At 38.3% G+C, this 20,288-nt stretch overlaps 1 long non-coding RNA gene across 4 annotated transcripts in view; it reads left to right on the top strand.

The window, feature by feature from the left end:
- The window catches only part of LOC105377167 (uncharacterized), a 60,528-nt gene extending 41,010 nt beyond the window's left edge, over nt 1-19,518 (top strand). The window contains exons 1-6 of one of the 4 annotated variants that reach the window (XR_940971.1): nt 380-439; nt 3,231-3,346; nt 5,164-5,707; nt 14,087-14,167; nt 17,070-17,172; nt 17,271-17,448. This is a non-coding gene — a long non-coding RNA (uncharacterized LOC105377167). Of the gene's footprint in view, nt 1-379; nt 440-3,230; nt 3,347-5,163; nt 5,708-14,086; nt 14,168-17,069; nt 17,173-17,270 lie in introns of those variants that run through there. The other 3 variants (XR_001740758.1, XR_940970.3, XR_940972.2) reach the window with 3 other exon arrangements.
- Nucleotides 19,519-20,288: the final 770 nt, after the last annotated feature.

Below are 20,288 nucleotides of genomic sequence, written 5' to 3' on the forward strand. Positions count from 1 at the left end.
CAATCTCTAAAATCTGGTTAAAATTTCTCATGAGTGTATTATGAAACTTAAATGGGATAAATGTATAAATGTAAGTTGTGAATTTTTAAGTTCCCATACAAATATAATATGTATTCATGCATGTATATATCACACCTCTCTCTCTGCCCATCCATCTTTTTATCTCATCAACATAGTCAGTCAATGTCACATCTATTTTTACAATATCCTCTTGTTAACTAATGCCATGTACTAAATTCACAGTGCTACCTACAGCCAATTCCATCATAATTTTCAGAACATCAAAACTATCAAGAGAATACAAAATCAAAGTGACTTTTCAGCCAGATAGGGCTATGACATCTAAATTGTATATTAACAGCTCCATGTTCCACAGACAGGAATGTGAATCTCTGCTGCATTATGGTGCTTTAGAAAGAAATAAGAAGGCACTTTTCAGGTAATTATGCACTTGTCTTTGCCTTCCCAGTGCAATCTTAAAGTGTGGGGATTTTTTTTTCTAGCAGGCACTGACTTTCCTGTTCATATAATAAATGCTAGTCAAGGAAATTCTTGTGGAGCGACATGAGGCCATATGTTATGTTTTCAGTCATCCAAGTCCTCAAAATACCTTTTTTTTTTAACATATCTTCTTTCCCTGATGAGCCAAAGTTGCCTATTGAGATGGTCTTATTCCCCCAATGTAATCTGATAAGAATTGTTAAAGAGACCAAGAATTTACACATGTAAACTGGTTGCCTATAATAACTGTACAAAAACAACATCAAAAAATCATCCACAGCTTGTTAACTTTCAAATCACATTCTTACCAGAAAAGTTTTCTTTTTTAAAATCTTGGGCACAGTAGGCTTTTCTTGGGGATGTCTAAGAACTGACACAGGAAAAAAAAGGAGGAAGCTGAATTTGAAGGATATGCAATTTTCATGCCCATGTATTATCTTAGATATTAGATTAGTCTTTCAAAAGGTACCTAATCTTATTGAATGAAATCCAGATATCTTCAGTTGTGTTGTAGCCCTTGAAGATTACTGGGAAATGAGTCCCTCTTAGTCATCCCGGGTAGCTGGGAACTTGGAAGTGGGAAATAAATTTTTCTTTAGAAAAGAAAGCAATCAGAGAATAGATATATAAATACCCACTAAAGCCATAGGATGGGATGCATTAACACATTCAAAGACAGTATGAATTATAGGATTTTGTGGTGATGGGATGCTCATTCTTAGAAGTTCATAAAATTGAGACCACAGAGCCAAACAGTGGTAATCTTCACCCCAAAAATTGGACTAGTAGAACCCTGGCAGGAAAATTAACCACCAGATGGATGTGGTAGATTATCAGATTTTGTTGCCATCTTACATTCAAATCATTCAACTATATTGCTGGTTTTTTAATATTTTTATTTTTATTTTTTTACGGAGTTTTGCTTTTTTGGCCCAGGCTGGAATGCAATGGCACGATCTCGGCTCACTGCAGCCTCTGCCTCCCGGGTTCAAGTGATTCTCCTACCTCAGCCTCCCAAGTAGTTGGGATTACGCATGCACTACCACGCCCAGCTAACTTTTTGTGTTTTTAGTAGAGATGGAATTTCACCATGTTGGTTAGCTGGTCTTGAACGGCAGATCTCAGGTGATCCACCCACCTCATAGTTATGTACCATTATTGGACTTCTGACTTTATCAATCAATCAGCAACTCAATCCCAAGGCAATGACCCAAGATACAATCTTACTTTTTATAGTGGCAACTTTACCAAAGCAAATACTAAGTTGGGAGGACTTGACTGTATGGTTATGTCTCTTCTAGGCATCAACCTATTAGACATTTCCTTTCATACAGGCTTTGAATTTCTATAGGATATTACACATTGTCTTCTGAAATTGAAGCTTTACTTAAACCCACTTTCATTTCTATATACCTGCAATTCTGCTCTGTGATTTTATGTTACTTTTTTAGACCTAGAATGCCAATTTTTCCACCTCTGCTTTTTGTTCCTACAAAAAATCGTATCTTCTGTCAATCTAGTTGCACACCAGAATGAAATCTGGACAATTACAATATCAACTGCAATCAAGACAGCTTTCATTGTTTTATTCATTTTGGACTCCATAATATGTAATTTTCTAGCAAAAATGTGTTTGTAACTGATTTTTTCCTCCTGATTGTCTCAGTGACCCTAAAGGAGCCCCGCTTAGGACTCAAGTTATCAGGGCCATGTCTTTCTTACTAGGTTACAGTCTACTGAAGGTTCTTACACAGCACTATGTGAGTAAAGGTATAGATATTATCAACGTCTTTCACCAAATGCTTAAAAAGTTAGGTGTCTTTCAGCTTTCAGCGACATACTCAAATAGGCTTAATTCAAGAAGGAATTTAGGGGTTCATGTTTTAAAAAAATTAAGGTGTATTGGCTTCAGGCTCAGGTGTATGCAGATACTTAAGTAATATTGTTAAAAATCTTTCCGATTTGTTCTCTGTACCTGGCTTTCCAGTTTTTTCCCCTCTACTCATAGGCAGTCTAGTTCCATTGGTAATCCCCAGTATCTCCAGGCATATATCTTCTTAGCTTTAATAACAGAAAATCTCATCTTTCTAGAGAGATTCAACAAAAGTACACCATAAAGACTCATCGGCTATGAATGGCCCAGTCAGATTCACAAGCTCACCCCTGGAATTTGGTATAGATTCAGCCCCAGAATAATCATAGGGTGAGAAAGTGGAGGATGGGTGGATTCTCAAGAGAATGGAGATTCTGTTACAAAACGGGATGAATAGATGCTAGGAAGTTCATAAGCAGATTTACACCAGCATACTAGACACCATTTCTTTACCACTGTCAATTATCCCAGCCACTTTTGTGGTAACAAGTTTCTTGCAAATTTCAATCAGCTTTGTGAAAGTGCAACTAAGAGAGCCTCAACTCAGATCCATATCCCACACTCTTAGTTCCTGCCCTGGGGCTTCTCTGACTCTGTGGTACCAGGTACCCACAGGAAGCTATCCAGCACTCAAGCATGTGCAAACTGGAGAAGGGAAGTAGTTAATCTCTTTGGGTTACACTTGATTAACAGGTGACATGAGCTAGTGGATTAAATACCTCTGCTTTTTGTCCACAAGGGACCTGCTGTATTGAGTATTAACCACCCCTAGTATTGAATTATTGTACTGGTCTTCCTTCCTGTCTCTCTTTCCTGGTACCTGAATCATTCTCTCCATATTGTATTTGCATGCAAGCAACTACCTTAGTATCTCCCTGGAGAAACCCAAGCTATGACAGCAGGTACCAGAATTGGCCCAAGAAAGTAGACCTTCCAAATGGATTTTGCAGCTGGATCACCTGTGGGCATATGGTGAGTGTGGTAAGAATTAGTGAAGGAATTACTGTGGCCTGTGCTAGGACACTGGTTACTAAGAATCTCCTGAGTGGATCAGAAAGAGGTGCACGTGAAAGAATCAGCAATGAGTTCTGAAGTAGTCATGATACTTAAATAGTGTGGAAGCAATCACAGTTGTAAGAATTGAGTAGCAGTTTTGGAAATCTTGAAAAAACAAATGACGACCTAAGACAATAACAAGTTCAATAAATGTCTCTGTCCAATGCTAGACTAAAATATCCACCCATGTATATATAACATTGTTTTTTTCCCTTTCACTTTGCTTATTTGTTTGTTTTTATTGTAAAATATTTTATATACATAAAAAATGACGTAAAACATACGCATACAGGTGTGACAATAGCTAAATAGTGAATGACTATAGCACCACTTACTAAGTAAAGACACAAAAGATGATGAGCTCCTTAGAAGCCCTTGTACCATGTACATAATGTGGTACTTACGTCTTATCTCCTGCCAATAACCCGCTCCCCCAACTCTAAGTAAACCTGCCCTGCCTTTTATGGAAATTATTTCCTTGCTTTTCTTTTTAATTTTACTAGTCATTATGCTTCCCTAAGCAAATAAACTTTAATTATGTTTGTTCTTGAAATCCATTGTTTAGCAACATAATATTTCAGAGATTTATCCAGTGCTTGTTGATATTCTTCCAGCAGACCTATACGAGTTGTCAATATCTGGCATATTTTCTGTTTGTTCCAAGCCAATGCCATACCAATGATTAAATATTTGTAATATAGACTCCTGGACTCATCCATATAGTTTTGTGTAGCTATAGCTCATCTCTTTTCATTGTTATTTAGTGTTCCATTCTATGAGCACAGCACAATTTATATGTTTCCTGTATTGTGATGGACATTTTGGTTATTCTTGTTTGGAGGCATCATGCACAATGCTGCTACCGACTTCCTTGTACTGTATTGTGGTACAAATGTATAGGAATTTCTCTAGGGTATATATCTAGTGCTGTCTTAGGGTTTACATATCTTCAACTTTAATGGATCATGTTAAATCATTTTCAAAATGTAGTTTGCATCCCTACCAACAATATATGAGAGTTCTCAGTTCCATGTGCTCACGAACATATGGCATTGTCAGACAGTGTAATTTTTGTTGATCCAGTGGTTATATATTGATGATCACACTGTAATTTTCATATTTATCTTCCAAGTTGCCAGTGAGGTGAGCAGATTTTAGTTTGTTTATTGGCCATTTGGCTTTCTTTTTTCATGAAGGGTCCATTTAATTATGCTGTACATTTTAAAAATTAGGCAGTCTGTAATTTTCTTATTTACTTGGAGGACTTCCTTATTTATGAGTTGCAAATACATTCTCCCACTCTGTGGCATGTCTTTTTACTCGTGACTTTGGTTAACTTTTTGCTGAAATACTTAATGCCAGAGCTAGCATCAATGACTGTATGTATTAATTTTTTTCTCACTTACAATGCAGACATTATTCTTATTTTGAAAGAATTGCACACCTAAGGGTCAGCTTACCTGCAGGATGAATAATGAGTCCTTGGCTTAATAGTCTTCATAAACGCTGAATGATGAGATTAGTGAGGAAAATAGATTGAAACGATCTTTTGTCCGTGATTTAATTTCACATTGCTTCTCTGGAAAGGAATAAATATGCAATTGCTTATGAAATGCTGTGCATGTGTGTGTGGGTTTTATGTTACTGGCTTACCTTTGGAGGACAGAAATAATCTATTGTGCCTAAAAACATGTATGCTTCATTATTTGGTCTTATTTTTCTGTTTCCTAAAGGGAAATAACTGAGTCCTTTGGAGCTGAAAATGAAAAACTGAGTAGCTGGTGGAAGAAGCGAGATGGGTTTGGAACTCACAGGCTATGTTTCTGGATGCATCACATTTGCAAGAGGGAAGTTTTGGTGTCCCTGTGGGTATATTAGCACTCCTTTACTCCATTTCTCTGTAGCTACTCAAGCAAGTGACAAGTAAGTATGTTGAGACCACATGTGACATATAAATTACAAGTTCTCCTGCCCCTCTAAAAGTTTATTCAGCATCAACCTTTGCACCAACACACTAAGGCATAATAGCTGATAATTTATGAGTGTAATTTGAAGGAAGCAATTCTGTTTTGTGATTATGGTAGTAAATAAAAGATTCAAATCCTCATTGACACACCATGAAATTCAGCTTTACTTTTTTTTTTTTAACCTTGATATTGTTTATGGAAAGAAGGCTGCAGAGTCCAAGAAAGGTGACAGATATGAAGAAATGCAGTGGTTGCAAAGGACAAAGACAATGGCAACACAAATAAAAGAAATTATGAGAAGGAAATAAATGTGAGTAAGTTCAAATTTTAGAATGCTTTTATTTATTTCACTTGTGAGGGAAAGGGCTTTGGAAAATGAAGGTATGTCATATAGTTTGGCAATATAATGGATAGGAGAAATGATAGACTGATGAGAGCCTAGAGGGAAGACTTGGATGGAAATTACTTTATGATTTCATGATTAAGATACTTTGAAGAAGTATTCACTTTCTTGATAGATGAGATATACTGGTGTGAGCCAAGGGATTCACTGGAGTCTCTCTCTCTCAGTAAAATATCTGCCCTGCAGACTGCTATGGCAGCCACAATTGGGCAGCAGTTAATTATACTTTTCCTTGGGAATTTAAAAATAGGTATCTTTCCAATTATTCTTTTAGGTTAGAACTCAAGCAGCAATGATAAAACCTTTGTGGATATGAAAGGGTGTGCAAATACTGAGATTGCCAACTGGATCCCTTCAAAGTTTCCATTAGCCAGAGGTCTGGATTCCAGTTCAGATCAATTTAGAGATCAAGTGAGATGAATGTGAATTTTTATCCACAGATGATAGCATGATCTGAAGTGGAAACTAGGGGTACATACATCTTAACAAGTGTGTTAGGCTCAGAAGCTGAATAATTTGTGACTTTGGTGAAAATAGTCAGAATTCCATTTTAGTAGCACTACATTTTATTTCTACATAAGAATTCAGCATAAGTGGTAATAATAATGATTTTGTTACATGATATTCCTGCTAAGATTAATATTTGGTTTAACTTAGTTGCTCTATGGTAAAGCAATACCCTGCATGAAGGTTTGTTCACTAAATATTTGTTTTGGCAAGTATTACATAATAATAATTTGCATCTATCCAGAATTATTTTTATTTTATCATAAGCTTTAACATACTAGCTCAGTTTTTTTTTCTTTTTTTTTTTTGCAGTTGCAAGATTTAATAGTGTGAAAACAGAGCTCCCATACAAAGGGAGGGGATCCAAAGAGGGTAGCCGTTGATGGTTCAAATGCCTGGGTTTATATTCTGATCATTTTCCCTCTCGCTGTGCTGTCAGGTGATAGATGATTGGCTATTTCTTTACCTCCTGTTTTTGCCTAATTAGCATTTTAGCGAGCTGTCTTTACTACCTGATTTGTTGGCGTGCTCTAAGTTGCAAGCCCCGTGTTTAAAGGTGGATGCGGTCACCTTCCCAGCTAGGCTTAGGGATTCTTAGTTGGCCTAGGAAATCCAGCTAGTCCTGTCTCTCAGTACCCTCTCTCAACAGGAAAACCCAAGTGCTGTTGGGGAAGTCGACTGATGTCTGCACTAACTGCTTCCTGCTGAATTGGGGCATAGTAGGGGTTGTGCAGTTCAGATTTCCTCGGGAGGGGTGCCTTCGATGTCATTAACATCAGAGCATGGGCTAGCAGGCTGGTCCAGGGGTCTGCGGTAGATCTTAGTCATGGACTGCATCTGGGGCTCCATTTGAAGAACGATTTGTAGTTTTACAGCTTTGATTCTGGAAGAGACAAAGTTATCAAGGAGATTAAAAATAGAGGGATTGAAATGTATGGCCTACAGTGCAGGGGATTATTTCTTTGGCACACTTCACAGGCCCTGACTATCTGCTTGATAGTTTTGAAAAGGTCTGGTCCAGTAAATAATAGTTTGGTCATCTGATGGGTGCTGTCAATGCCTAAGTGAAAGGTTTGGTGAAGGGTTTTAAGTAATTTCCATTGGTTAGCTGCAAGCAAAAGTATTTTTCCTTCTTTGGTGGCTAGCCATCCTGAGGGGAGGAAACTATGTCTTCATGAGGTTCCCATTCTATTTCTTCTGCTGAGTATTGGGGCTTGGTTTCCCAGAGGGGATTACCCCATACTAGGGGTCCTTCTATAAGCATTTCTAATGGAGAGTCCTGCCTTGCGGCTTTTTTTGCTTCAATATCCGCTTGGCGATTGCCTTCTATTTCCCTTTCCTCTTCTTTCTGATGACCCTGGCAGTGTAAGACTGCCACCTCTTTAGGTTTCTGTACAGCCAATAATAATCTCCTAATGGCTTCCTGATGGTTGATAGGTGTTCCCTCAGAAGTTAGGAATTCCCTCTCTCTCCATATTGCTGCATGGGCATGGAGGACTAGGTAAGCATACTTAGAGTCTGAATATATATTTACCCTTTTTCCTTCTCCTAATTCTAGTGCCCAAGTGAGGGCTATTAGTTCTGCCAGGTGAGCACTAGTTCCTGGAGTGAGGCGATTACTTTCAAGTATTCCATTATCACTGATCACTGCATACCCCGCTTTTCAAAGTCCTTTTTCTGCCAAGGAACTTCCATCAGTATACAAGTTGAGGTCGGGATCAGTCAAGGGAACCTCTAGAAGGTCCCCTCGAGCAGCATAGGTTTGAGCAATTACTTGTTGACAGTTATGTTCTATCTTTTCTTCATTGTCTGGAAGAAATGTGGCTGGGTTAAGAGTTGCACAAATGTGCAGTCGCAGCACTGGCACTTCAAGTAATAGAACCTGCTATTTAAGTAAATGGTTGTCTGACAGCCACAAGTCTTCTTTAGCAGTGAGTATGCCGTTCACATCATGAGATGTCCACACAGTAAGATCTCTTCCCTGTATTATTTTAACTGTTTCAGAAACTAAGACTGCTACTGCTGCCCCTACCTGTAAACAATGAGGCCAACCCTTTGCCACTACATCAGTTTCCTTACTCAGGTATGCCACAGGTTGCAAGCTTGTCCCTTGGACCTGTGTAAGGACTCCTAGAGCTATTCCTGTTTTTCTGTGACATATAAAGAAAAGTCTTGCCCCGTTGGCAAGCTTAACACTGGGGCTTGGGTTAGGGATTTCTTTAGGGCCTGGAAAGCTGCTTCTGCTTCTGGTGTCCATCTTACTAAATGGGTATTGGCTTTCTGAGTTTCCTTAATTAGTGTATATAATGGCTTGGCTATTTCGCCATACCTGGGAATCCATATTTGGCAGAAGCCTGTTATGCCAAGGAACACTCTTAGTTGCTTTAGGGTTTTGGGATGAGGATAAGCCAGTATGGGCTGGATACATTCCTCACTGAGGGCCCTGATGCCTTTGGATAATTTTAGCCCTAAGTATTTAACCTACTGTGAGCAGAGCTGAGCTTTTGGTTTGGAAACCTTGTAGCCACAGGTGGCAAGGAAATTTAAGAGCGCTTGGGTGGCTTGATGGCACAAGGTTTCTGAATGGGTGGCTAAAAGTAAATCATCCACGTACCAAAGGACAAGAGTGTCCAGGTACAAGAACTGGCTCAAGTCTTGGGCTAATGCCTGGCCAAATAGATGGGGGCTATCCCTGAACCCTTGGGGTAAAACAGTCCAGGTGAGTTGAGATGTTGGGTTTGAAGGATCTTCAAAGGCAAACAAGAATTGAGAGTTAGGATGTACAGGGATGCAGAAAAAGGCATCCTTAAGGTCCAGGAGTATAAACCACTTTGCTTCCTCAGGTTTTTGGGAAATCAGAGTATAAGGGTTAGGTACAGCTGGGTATAGAGGAACAACAGCCTCATTGATAATCTTGAGATCTTGCCTAACCTCCACTGCCCATTGGGTTTCTGTACTCCTAAAATTGGAGTATTGCAGGGGCTACTGCATGGTCTTACTAGGCCTTGGGCATTTAGGTCCTTAGCAATCTTTTGGAGTCCTTGTTGGGCCTCAGGTCTAAGCGGGTACTGCCTTTGGTAGGGAAAGGAGGCAGAATCCTTTAGTTTAATTGGAAGAAGACAGGCATTCTTTGCTCTTCCATATTGTCCTTCTGTTGTCCAGACTTCAGGATTAATTCCTTCCTCAAGCAGGGGACAACAAACGGGTGTTTCTTCTCCTATGTTCAGGTGTATAATGGCCCCTGTTTTTGCTAGAATATCTCTCCCTAACAAGGGAGTGGGGCTTTCAGGCATAATTAGAAAAGCATGTGAAAAGAGTAAAGTTCCCCAGTCACAATTTAGTAGACAAGAGAAGCAACTAGTGACTGGCTGTCCTAGGACCCCTTAGATAGTGACAGATCAGGAGGACAGTTGTCCAGGACAGGAGAGTAAGATTGAGAAGGCTGCACCAGGGTCCAGGAGACAGTTAACCTCCTGGCCCTCAATGGTCAAGCATACTTGGGGCTCTGTGAGGGTGATGGCATGGGCTGGCACTTGCCCCAGGCACCCTCAGTCCTGCTGCTGGATCATCTGGTTAGTGGCTTCTGACTCAGAGGAACTTCATCCCCTTGGGCAGTGGGCCTTCCAGTAATTCCCTTGACATAAGGGGCATGGACGAGGGGGCGGCTCATTTCTACTTGGACAATCTTTTTTAAAGTGTCCTTTTAGACCACACTGGAAGCAAGACCTATTAGGCATTCGATTTGCCCAGCTTTTACCTTTCCCAGAGCCTCCGAAGTCCACTTGTCTGAGGGCCATGACTAAAGCAGTGGCCTTCTGTTTTTTTATCCCATTTGTCTTGTTCTGCCTGCTCCTCCCTATCTCTATTAAAAAAACCGAGGTTGCCAAGTTCAATGGGGTTTCTAAGTTTTGCTCTGGGCCTAAGGCAGACTTTTGAAGTTTTTTTCTAATGTCTGCAGCTGACTGAGTGATAAACTTATCCTTTAAGTTTAGTTGGCCTTCAATAGAGTCAGGTGACAGAGAGGTATGCTTTCTCAATGCCTCCCTTAGTCTCTCCAGAAAGGCGGTAGTATTTTCTTCCTTTCCCTGTGTTATAGTGGACATCATTGAATAATTCATAGGCTTCTTCCTAGTTTTCCTTAGTACTTCTAGCACGCAAGTTAGCAAATGTCTTTGGCACCAGTCTCCATGTTCTGATTCTGTGTCCCAGTGAGAGTCTACACTGAGAACTGCCTGCTGCCTGTGGGGAATCATTCTCTTTCCTCTGTTTTTATCCTATAATTGACCTGACTGAGATACTAGAGATCACCAAACTCTCGGGCTGCAGTTATGGCGGCACTTCTCTCATTTGGGGTTAGTGTCTGATTTAGCAGTAACATTATATCTCTCCATGTCAGATCAAAGGATTGCCCTAACCCTTGTAAAACATCAATATAGCCATCAGGGTTATATGAGAATTTACCTAGGTCTATTTTAATTTGCTTCAAGTCTGAGAGAGAAAAAGGTACATGCACTCTGGCTGGGCCGAATTCTCCTCCTCCCACCACTTGGAGGTGGCATAATCAGGGAATATTGGCACTCTTTGGTTCATTGTTTACCCCTTTGTCTATCTCCTTTTGGACCATTTTGGTTGAAGGGGCATCCTTATTAATTGGGGAAGGAGTCGGGGGGATGCCCGGGTAGGGAGGTAAACTCTGAGGGCTTCCTGTAGGGCATAAATCACACTTTTTACATAACTGTGAGTTGTCTCTTAATGAAAGGAAAATTTGTACATATGGCACTTCACTCTATTTGCCTTCTTTTCTACAAAAGAGGTCTAGCTGTAAGATGGTGTTATAATTTATACTTCCCTCAGGAGGCCAGGTTTCTCCCCCTTGGAAGGAGATCCCCCACGAGGATATCATGACCAGGCAGTGCTGCAGAAGAATATAAGTTGTTTGTTTTGTAACATCTGAGGGTCAGATTTGACCCAATTCTCCAGAATAGATCTTAGGGGCATTTTTGCCTTGGGGGGAACATTTCCCATCACTTTGGAGGTCCCTTCATGGTCGCCAAATGTTACCAGGGGGTCCTTGCTCCCAGAGCTCCCAAGATGGTGGCAGTCAGCTTCCAAGATGGCGGCAAGCCTCGTATTCTCTGACCTGGGGTTCTTGGCCTCACGGATTCCAATGAATGGAATCTTGGGCAATGTGGTGAGTGTTACAGCTCTATTAGAAGCCGTGGGTCATGGAAGAGAACCGTGGAACCCAGTGACTAGTGTTTGGCTCGACTGGGACCAACCTGGGCACTTAGCCATGCAGGAACAATGGCAAGCCTGTAGCCCAATCGGTAGTGGCAATGGGTGCCTTCGCTGGATCAGGAGCACAGCGGACACCCTGCCGGATCCGGAGGGATGGAAGTCAGCAGCGGGTCTGCAAGGGCAGCAAACAGCAGTGGTGGATGGTGAGGAAAAGCTCAGCTTGAGCCATAGCAAACACGGACCAGAACAGAGTGCAGTTGCAAGATTTAATAGAGTGAAAACAGAGCTCCCATACAAAGGGAGGGGACCCAAAGAGGGTAGCCCAGCTCACTTTTTTTCATAACAACCATGTGAGGAAAAAAGACAATTATTACAAATGAGGAAACTGAGGCAGAGCTGTAAAGTAATTTTCCCCATGCCACATTGGTACTAAATGGCAGAACTGTGACTAGAAGGCAGAATTCTTACTCTCTAAGCCAGTGTAATGTCTTTACTAATTTTCCCACAGAGCATGATGTTAGTAATAATAAGCAGTAGCTAATAAGCTACTATGGCCATGTTAAAGATGGATTATCAAGTACATATTATTTATCTGTGCCTAATAAATACTCAATACAATCATCCGTTGGTATTTATGGGTATTGGTTCCAAAATCCCTGTGGATATCAAAATCCTCAGATGCTCAAGTTCCTGATATAAAAATGGCACAGTATTTGCATATAACCTATACATATTCTCCCTTTTACTTTAAATCATCGCTAGATTACTTATAATGTCTAATACAATGTGAATGCTATGTAAATAGATGTCATACTGTATTGTTTTTTAAATTGTACTTTTATTGTCAACTGTCATTTTTTATTGTTTTATTTCAAATATTTTTGATCCATGGTTGGTTGAACTCTCAGATGCAAAACCTTTGGAAACAGAAGGAATTGTCTTCTCATGTGATACTTCACTGCCTCCATCTGGGACCTCTCTTCCATTTCCAGTTTGATCTCTAATCCCTGATTTTCCAATTCTGCCTTCCGTTCTGCCAGCCACTCACACTCAGATAGCAGTCAAACTTAACTCTCCCTGAAGGTTGTGTAATAAAATTTCTTCAAGGAGTACTTACATTTAACAGGAACCTAAGAGACCCTTCAAGACACTAATTTCCTGTGAGTTTGTCAGAGGGATTTGTCAAGCGCCACTCACATCACAAAATTTATGAAGACAAACCCTGGAACAGAATTATTTCACACCTATGAATCAGGTGAAAAGAAGGGACTGATAGCTCTTTCTTCCTTCTTCTCAAGTTAAATGTATATGTTTGTAGCCTGACGGAAATGAAAGCCCGTGAGATTTGGAGATGGAGGCCAAGCTCTGCCTTTCACTAAGCTGGGCGACCATTTTTGCTTTTATTTTCTTGTATAAAATAATGTTGCATTATTGCCTACTTTGCACAGTTGTTGTGAATGCCAAGAATAATCCCAAGTCGAACATGGTGGAAGTGTACATGTTTCCTTTTCCTTTTCAATTAATGTCCTTGTTTGACCTATCCAGAAGTACATCCTTTAGGTGGCATTTAATGGAATCTTTGTGTATCTGATAGGAAGAAGTGTCAGTACCTCAGCAACACTAGTCCTGAGTGATATTTATTGACAGGTACTGTGAGCTAGAAATGAATGGTATGAAGTGTTTTACATATATCATTTAGTCTGCTGTACACCCTGTAATGACTGTCTGCTAGAGAAGGAAGCAAGTCTAGAGTGTTAAATAATTTGCTCTCTGTCACTCAGCCAAGAACTGGATCTTGAACTCAGATTGTCTTACTCCAAAGCCCAGAACTTGTTAATCCTAGAGCCGTAGTAGTGGAGAGTTAGAAAAAGAGCATTTCTGAATATTTTCAGGATTTTATGATAATGAAATGAAATATCATCTCTTTCTCTCATGATCTTAGGGAAGACTTAAAGGTAGCTATTTGTTGGAAGATCTGCATCATATTACCTATCCACAAACATGAAAAACATTGTCCACAACTGATGTTTGAAATTTCACTTGAGATTAATTGGCTGATGTTTCCTAATGTAAATTAATATTAGAGGAAATTGTTAGGGCTTTGAATTTATCTTAAACATACAAATTCAGTTATTTTGATTTCAAGAATTATTTTCCCCTTTTCATGTTCACTAAAAATAATCTTAGTTGTGGGAAAGAGATTTAGAAAAAAAAATGAGAGTGACTAAATCCCTTTTTAATACTCTGCAGAATTTACAGCATATGATAAAACTGTTTTTCTTTTCTGAACAGAAAAAGTGTGGCTAATGTAGAAGCCTCTTACCATTTGATTTGCTCAAATGCCTTCTGTATTTGTATTTTTTCCTTTATAAAAAATAAAGAAGAAAATCTCAGGGAAAAGCTCTTTCCTAGGACATTATTTTGGAGATTGGTTTCTTTCTCTGGGGGAGTAAAACCTCATTGCCATCTTTCACAGGATAATTTTTTGGAATATAAGCAGGAGATTCTAAATTTATTGTCTTGTGCTTTGTTTGGCTTTAGATTAAAAAAAAAACCCAAACGTTTGTTGATGTAAACTGAAAATAAATTTGGAATGAGCTGTGTGCACTTGGAAATGAGAAGGTGAGTTTGCCAGTTATGAATTGCATATGTATATATGTGTGTGTGTAGTATATGGATATGCATAATATGTAAGTATTTATGTTTGGTAGTATGTATATGTTGGAAGTACATGTTAAATTATTTAAATAGAAGGGTTTTGGACAGACAAGGGAATTATTAAGGACAAATGAGAATTTTTAAATTTACTTTGGGATTTTGAGAGAAAAATACTTTCTCAGGATAGTTTGGCATACTGAAAAGAGTTTATATTTAAAAAAACTTTGTTGATATAAACTGAAAATAAATTTAGAATGAGTTGCACTTGTAAATGAGAAGGTGAGTTTGCCATTTATAAATTGCAAATGTACATGTGTATGTGTTGCATATGAATATGCGTAAGTATGTATATATTTATGTTTGGTAATATGTATATTAATGTTGGAGGCAGGTGTTGTTAAGTTATTTAAAGAGAAGGCATTTTAGACAGACAGATGAGGAGGTTATGAAGGGCAAATGAGAATTTTTAAAATGTACTTTGGGATTTTGAGAGAAAAAGATTTTCTCAGAATAGTTTGGCACAGTCAGAAGGATTTGTATATATAATTTTAAGCTTGTGAGTTTCTTTTACATACTTTCTGTCTAAAAGCAATACTGTATAAAATGGACAAAAAATGTAAAGTCAAGTAAGCCTGGTTGTGGGTTGAAACTCAAAAGTGCATTATATCCAAGAAAACAAATAACGACCAGCTTAAAGCCAGGGTCTTTCTTTCTTTCTTTCTTTCTCTTTCTTTCTTTCTTTCTTTCTTTCTTTCTTTCTTTTTTTTTTTTTGTTAATGGATTTGTCAAGGGCAAAGATTGTTTAGGTTTTGCCCTGTGACTGTCTCACTATATACAACGTGAGAATAATGTAAAACTCTATGGATGAAAGATGGAAGAAATAAGTAGTGAAAGATAATGCTATCTGGAAAAGAAATTTATTATATTAGGCAGTTTGTGATTTTACAGTGTTTTAGAGGTTTACCTTCCATGGTAAGGATGCCAGCTCAGAAGGAAACTTATCATTCACTCTTGTATTTTCATCCTGGAAGAAAATTTTATGTAAGTAATAATACTAGGTGATATGACACAATATTATTCTACTTGAAAAGCAAAGCTAGGAAGGAAAAGTTTTGGCTTTCTTTTATAGGACTGTGTCATTTGTTCAATGGCAAATTAATATAAGCCTTTTTCTTGGAAGATTGGGGCAAGTACTTCTAAGATGGAAATGCTGGGACTTTTAAACACTGCTAATATTGTAGTGCTAAATCTATCATTTTCTGCCTAAATAGACAAAATATTGCACTAAACAATACAGCGAACTCCTTTTAAAGCTGAAATTGTTATGTGAATTGTTAACTAGAATATGATCATTTCTGAGTGATGTTTCATACCTTTATAAATGTCTTTCATCCTTCATTTACTCATCAGTGCTTTTCAATTCTCACTAAATAAGAATTATTTAAAGATTAAGCAACGTACGCAGTTGCTTTTAAATTATCTTAACATTATACAATCTTTGCCACTCTTACCATTGGAAGGCCATAAAATAATTTGAATAGAATATGTGACCAACTAAAATGAAGATGATTTTATTATTCATGAAACTTTAACATGAATAGTTTAGAGCCTGAATTTCTCCATTATATTAAATTATGGTGCAACATAAAACTGTCAGACTAGGTTGTAGACTCATAGTCCCCATGGAGTTTCCTTATGTTTTCCTTTAAGATTTCCTTCCTCTAATACCTATAAATTCAACTTTTGGTTCATGTCTTTCTTCTGATATCCCAAAGCCTTATTCACTGACTTTTTCCTTTCTTTTCGGTTTGATGTTATTTTAGAAATAACATTTTTTATAACAACATAAAAATTCAGTAGTGACTAATATGCTAAGTTGATAAACCCTTAAGAGTTAGAATAGATTTTTGGGATAAACCCTTGTGCAAATGTCTCCCAAGACTACTCTACTTGTGGTCTTTTCAAAGGAGATTTTCCTCTATTCCAGAACTCAGGGAAATGTGACACCTAAATTCCTCCAAAGTAGATCTGCTGCTGTGAAGAATGGTAGTCATGTGCACTGGCCTTGGGATGAGACAGAATTGTAATCTGTCTCTTTCTCGCTAAAGGATCTGGAACATACCTCTGAGTCTTGGCTTTCTCATCTGCATAATGAGGCTAATTGCACCTCACCAACACAGTTGTTGTGAGGACTACATAATGTCATTCATGAAAAGCACCTAACATGGTCCCCAATACACAGTAATCTTAAGATTTTTATTGTAACTGGATCTGCAGGCTCTTGAACTCAAAAGATCACATCCTTCTTTCCTCTGTTGGACCTAGAATTATAGACTAGAACCCTAGAAGGGTTTTCTGAAGGGTTATCATAGTTATAGTATTTCAGGTTGGTTCCTTGGTCCCTGTATGGAGGGAAAAACAGTAGTTGCCTGCTTCCTAATCTTGTCACTTGAGGGGCTAAAAGCAAGAGCCCCTTATACCATATACTAATAAGAAGGCCACATACCATAGTTCTAAATATTTAAAAGTTATAAAGTAAAGCTAATAAAATTTCCTGTGTAATGTTCTGTGCTCTTAGCTTAATAAATATTCCTTCATAATGACTTAGAATGCCACATTCAAATTTTAAATGCTCCTTGAATTCCTTGAAAACTCCTTGAAGTCCCATGATGAAACATGGGTGGCTGCAGGCCATGTTTAGATTCATATTATAAAGTATTTATATTAAAGTTTCATGAATAATAAAATCATCCTCATTTTAGCTGTTCACACATTCTATTCAAATTATTTCATGGCTTTCCAATGGTAAGAGTGGCAAGGATTGTATGATATTAAGATAATTTAAAATATCTCTTTTTCTCTCAAGCTCTGTCCTGCACCATGAAGGGCTTTGTGTGCATCCATGGGTTGCTTCTGCATGCAGAATGAGACTGGAACAAAAAAGAACCATTTAAAACACAGGATCCAGGGTAAGGGCTATTTCTGTCTGGCTCTGAAGGGCTGTTGCTGTTATTCTTGGGTGCCACCACACCCAAGGCTGACAGCAACTTGTCTCTCTTTAAAACAGTGATTCAGGATTTTAAATTGAAGATTGATCATACAAGCTGGAAGACGTCCCATGACACTTTATTTGAAATTGGAACATCAGAATTTGGTTGGGTCTATCTTTTACTAACTCTGTACCATGAAAAAATTATTTAATATTTCTGAACTGTGTAAAGAATAAAATTAGATTATGAATTCAATCTGTTGCTGCATAATCAATTACCTCCAATCTTAGCAGCTTCAAACAACAAACATAAATAAACTTAGTTTCTGCAGCTCAGGAATTCAGGAGTTTAGCTAGATGGTTCTGGCTTGGAGTCTTCCATGAGGTTGCCATCTAGAGGTCAGCCAAGGCTGCAGTCATTTGAAGGTTTGACTGGGGCTTGAGAATTCACTCTCATGGCTAGTCACATGTTCACTTCTGTGTTGGCTGTTGGCAGGAATTTTCAGAACCTTGCCATGTGGGTCTCTCCATATGGCTGCTTAAGCATCCTCATGACACGTCAGCTGGTCTCCCCAGTGGGAGTGATCGAAGAGACAGAAGCAAGAATGTCTTCAATGACCTACCCTTGTAAGTCACATACCTCACTTTCACCTAATCCTCAAAAGGAGAGAGTTAGACTCCACCTTTTGGAGGCAAGAATGTCAAAGAATTTGTGGACATATTTCAAAACCATCACTGGATCATATATGTGAAAATAAACACTTACAAAAAATAAAGTGCTATAAATGGGATACATTCAGATAAGGAACCCTTCTTTCAATGCCATCCCAGAATTCCCTCAGCTTAATTCTCCCAGAAGCTTCAAGACCTTCTAAAATTGTTTGGGCTTGGTCTTTATAGTCTGGAGGCACCAAAAGCCTGAGATTTGTATAGATTAAGGAAGAATCAGAATCTAAGAGACATTAAATGACTAGCCAAAGATCACACTGCTAGTTGGTGGAAGTCCGAGGAGTTTGTCCTAAGTGTGCCTAACTTCAAATCCCCTCATCTTAATCATTGTGTCACATCATGTCATAAAAATGGATGAAAGAAGAAAGAAGACACAAACACCCAGTATTATTTTAGGACAATTTCATGGCATTAAGTGTGGATTTTCGTTTTAGCTAACATTTTCATGAAGGAAAATCTTTGAGGATGTTCTCTCCATTAAAAAAAGAAGGAAAAAAACTCAAGATAATTATAGATTTACATGCAGTTGTAAAAGTTAGTAATGTAAAGAGAAGGCTTGTACACTTTGCCTAATTTCCCCAGTGGTAACTTTTTTAGAGCTATAGTATGATATCACAACCAGGATATTGACATCAGTCAATCCACTGATCTTATTCAGTTTTCCTAAGTTTACTCTTTAATGTGTGTGTGAAGTTCTACACAATTTTATTACTCGTATAAGTTCGTGTATCATCACCCTGGTTAAAATACTGAGGGGTTCCAGTGCCACAAGGATCCCTCCTATTCTTTTTGAGCCACACCCATTCCCCTTCTTCCCCAATTTCTCCACCTCCCTTTCTAACTATCTGCCACTAGTCTGTCCTCCATTTCTAAAATTTTGTCATTTCAAAAATTTAATATAAGTGGAATTATGTAGTATACAACAATTTGGAGTTTTGTTTTTGCTCAACATGATTTCCTAAAGATTCATTCAAGTAGTTCTGTATATCGATAGTGTATTTCTTTTTATTGCTGAGTAGTATTACAATTTTGTTTAACCATTCAACTCTTTTTTGTTAGTTTCTTTTTGTTTTTGAGATGGAGTCTGTTGCCCAGGCTGGAATGCAGCAGCGCGATCTCTGCTCACAGCAACCTCTGCCTCCTGTGTTCAAGCTATTCTCCAGCCTCAGCCTCCTGAGTAGCTGAGATTACAGGCGTGAGCCACAGCGCCCACCCTAGCCATTCAACTCTGAAGCACATCTGGGTTGATACCAGTTTTGGGCTGTTACAATAAAACTTCTATGAACATTCACGCACAAATTTTTGTGGGAACATACGTTTTCATTTCTCTAGGATAGATGTACAGGAATAAAATTCTGGGTCATATGGTAGTTGCATGTTTAAATATTTAAGAAACTGCTAAACTGCTTTCCAGAGTGTCTGTACCATTTCACAGTCCTAAAAGCGATGTATGAATGATCCAGTTTCACCATTTCCTCATCAGCATTTGGTGTTGTAATTCTCATTTTAATAATGCTTATAGATGTGTGGTGATATCTCATTATGGTGTTCATTTGTATTTCTCTAATGACCAATAAATATTTAACATATTTCCATGTGCCTGCTTTTTTGCCATTTTATATCCTCTTTGGTCTATAATGCCTTTTGTCCATTTTCTAATTAAATATTTATGTATTGTTGAGTTTTCAGAGTTCTTTATATATTCTAGATATTATTCCTTTGTCAGCTATGTGGTTTTAAAATATTTATTTCTATCTTGTAGCTTGTAATTTCATTTTCCTCACGTGGACTTTCACAAAGCAAGTGTTTTTATTTTTGATAAAATCAGATTTGTCAAGTTTTCCTTCTGTGGATCATGATTTTGTTGTCAAGTCCAATAACTGTCTGCCTAGCTCCAGATCCCAAAGTTTGCTCCTGTGTTTTTATTTCTAAAAGTTTTCAGATTTTGTTTCACATTTAAGTCTATGACCCATTTTGAGTTCATTTTTGTATAAATTGTGTCACTGAACTCAAAGGGTTTTTTTGGTATGGATTTCTTTTGTGTTTGTGTTTTGCTTGTTTGTCTTACTGTTCTATGTTCTACCACCATTTGTTAAAGTGGCTAACCTTTCTCTGTGTTGATTTTTGCACTTTGTAAAAAATCAGCCAAGCCTTTTTTTTGGGGGTGTCTATTTCTCATCCTCTATGCTGTACCATTGCCTATGTGCCTGTCTTTTTTTTTAAATTTTTTAATTTTTTTTATTTCGCAGGGGGTAACGGAGTCTCGCTCCTTTGCCAGGATGGAGTGCAGTGGCACTATCTCGGCTAACTGCAACCTCTGCCTCCCAGGTTCAAGCGATTCTTCTGCCTCAGCCCCCTGAGTAGCTG

The sequence above is a fragment of the Homo sapiens genome, chromosome 3, assembly GCF_000001405.40.
Source record: "Homo sapiens chromosome 3, GRCh38.p14 Primary Assembly".
Classification (NCBI taxonomy): domain Eukaryota; kingdom Metazoa; phylum Chordata; class Mammalia; order Primates; family Hominidae; genus Homo; species Homo sapiens.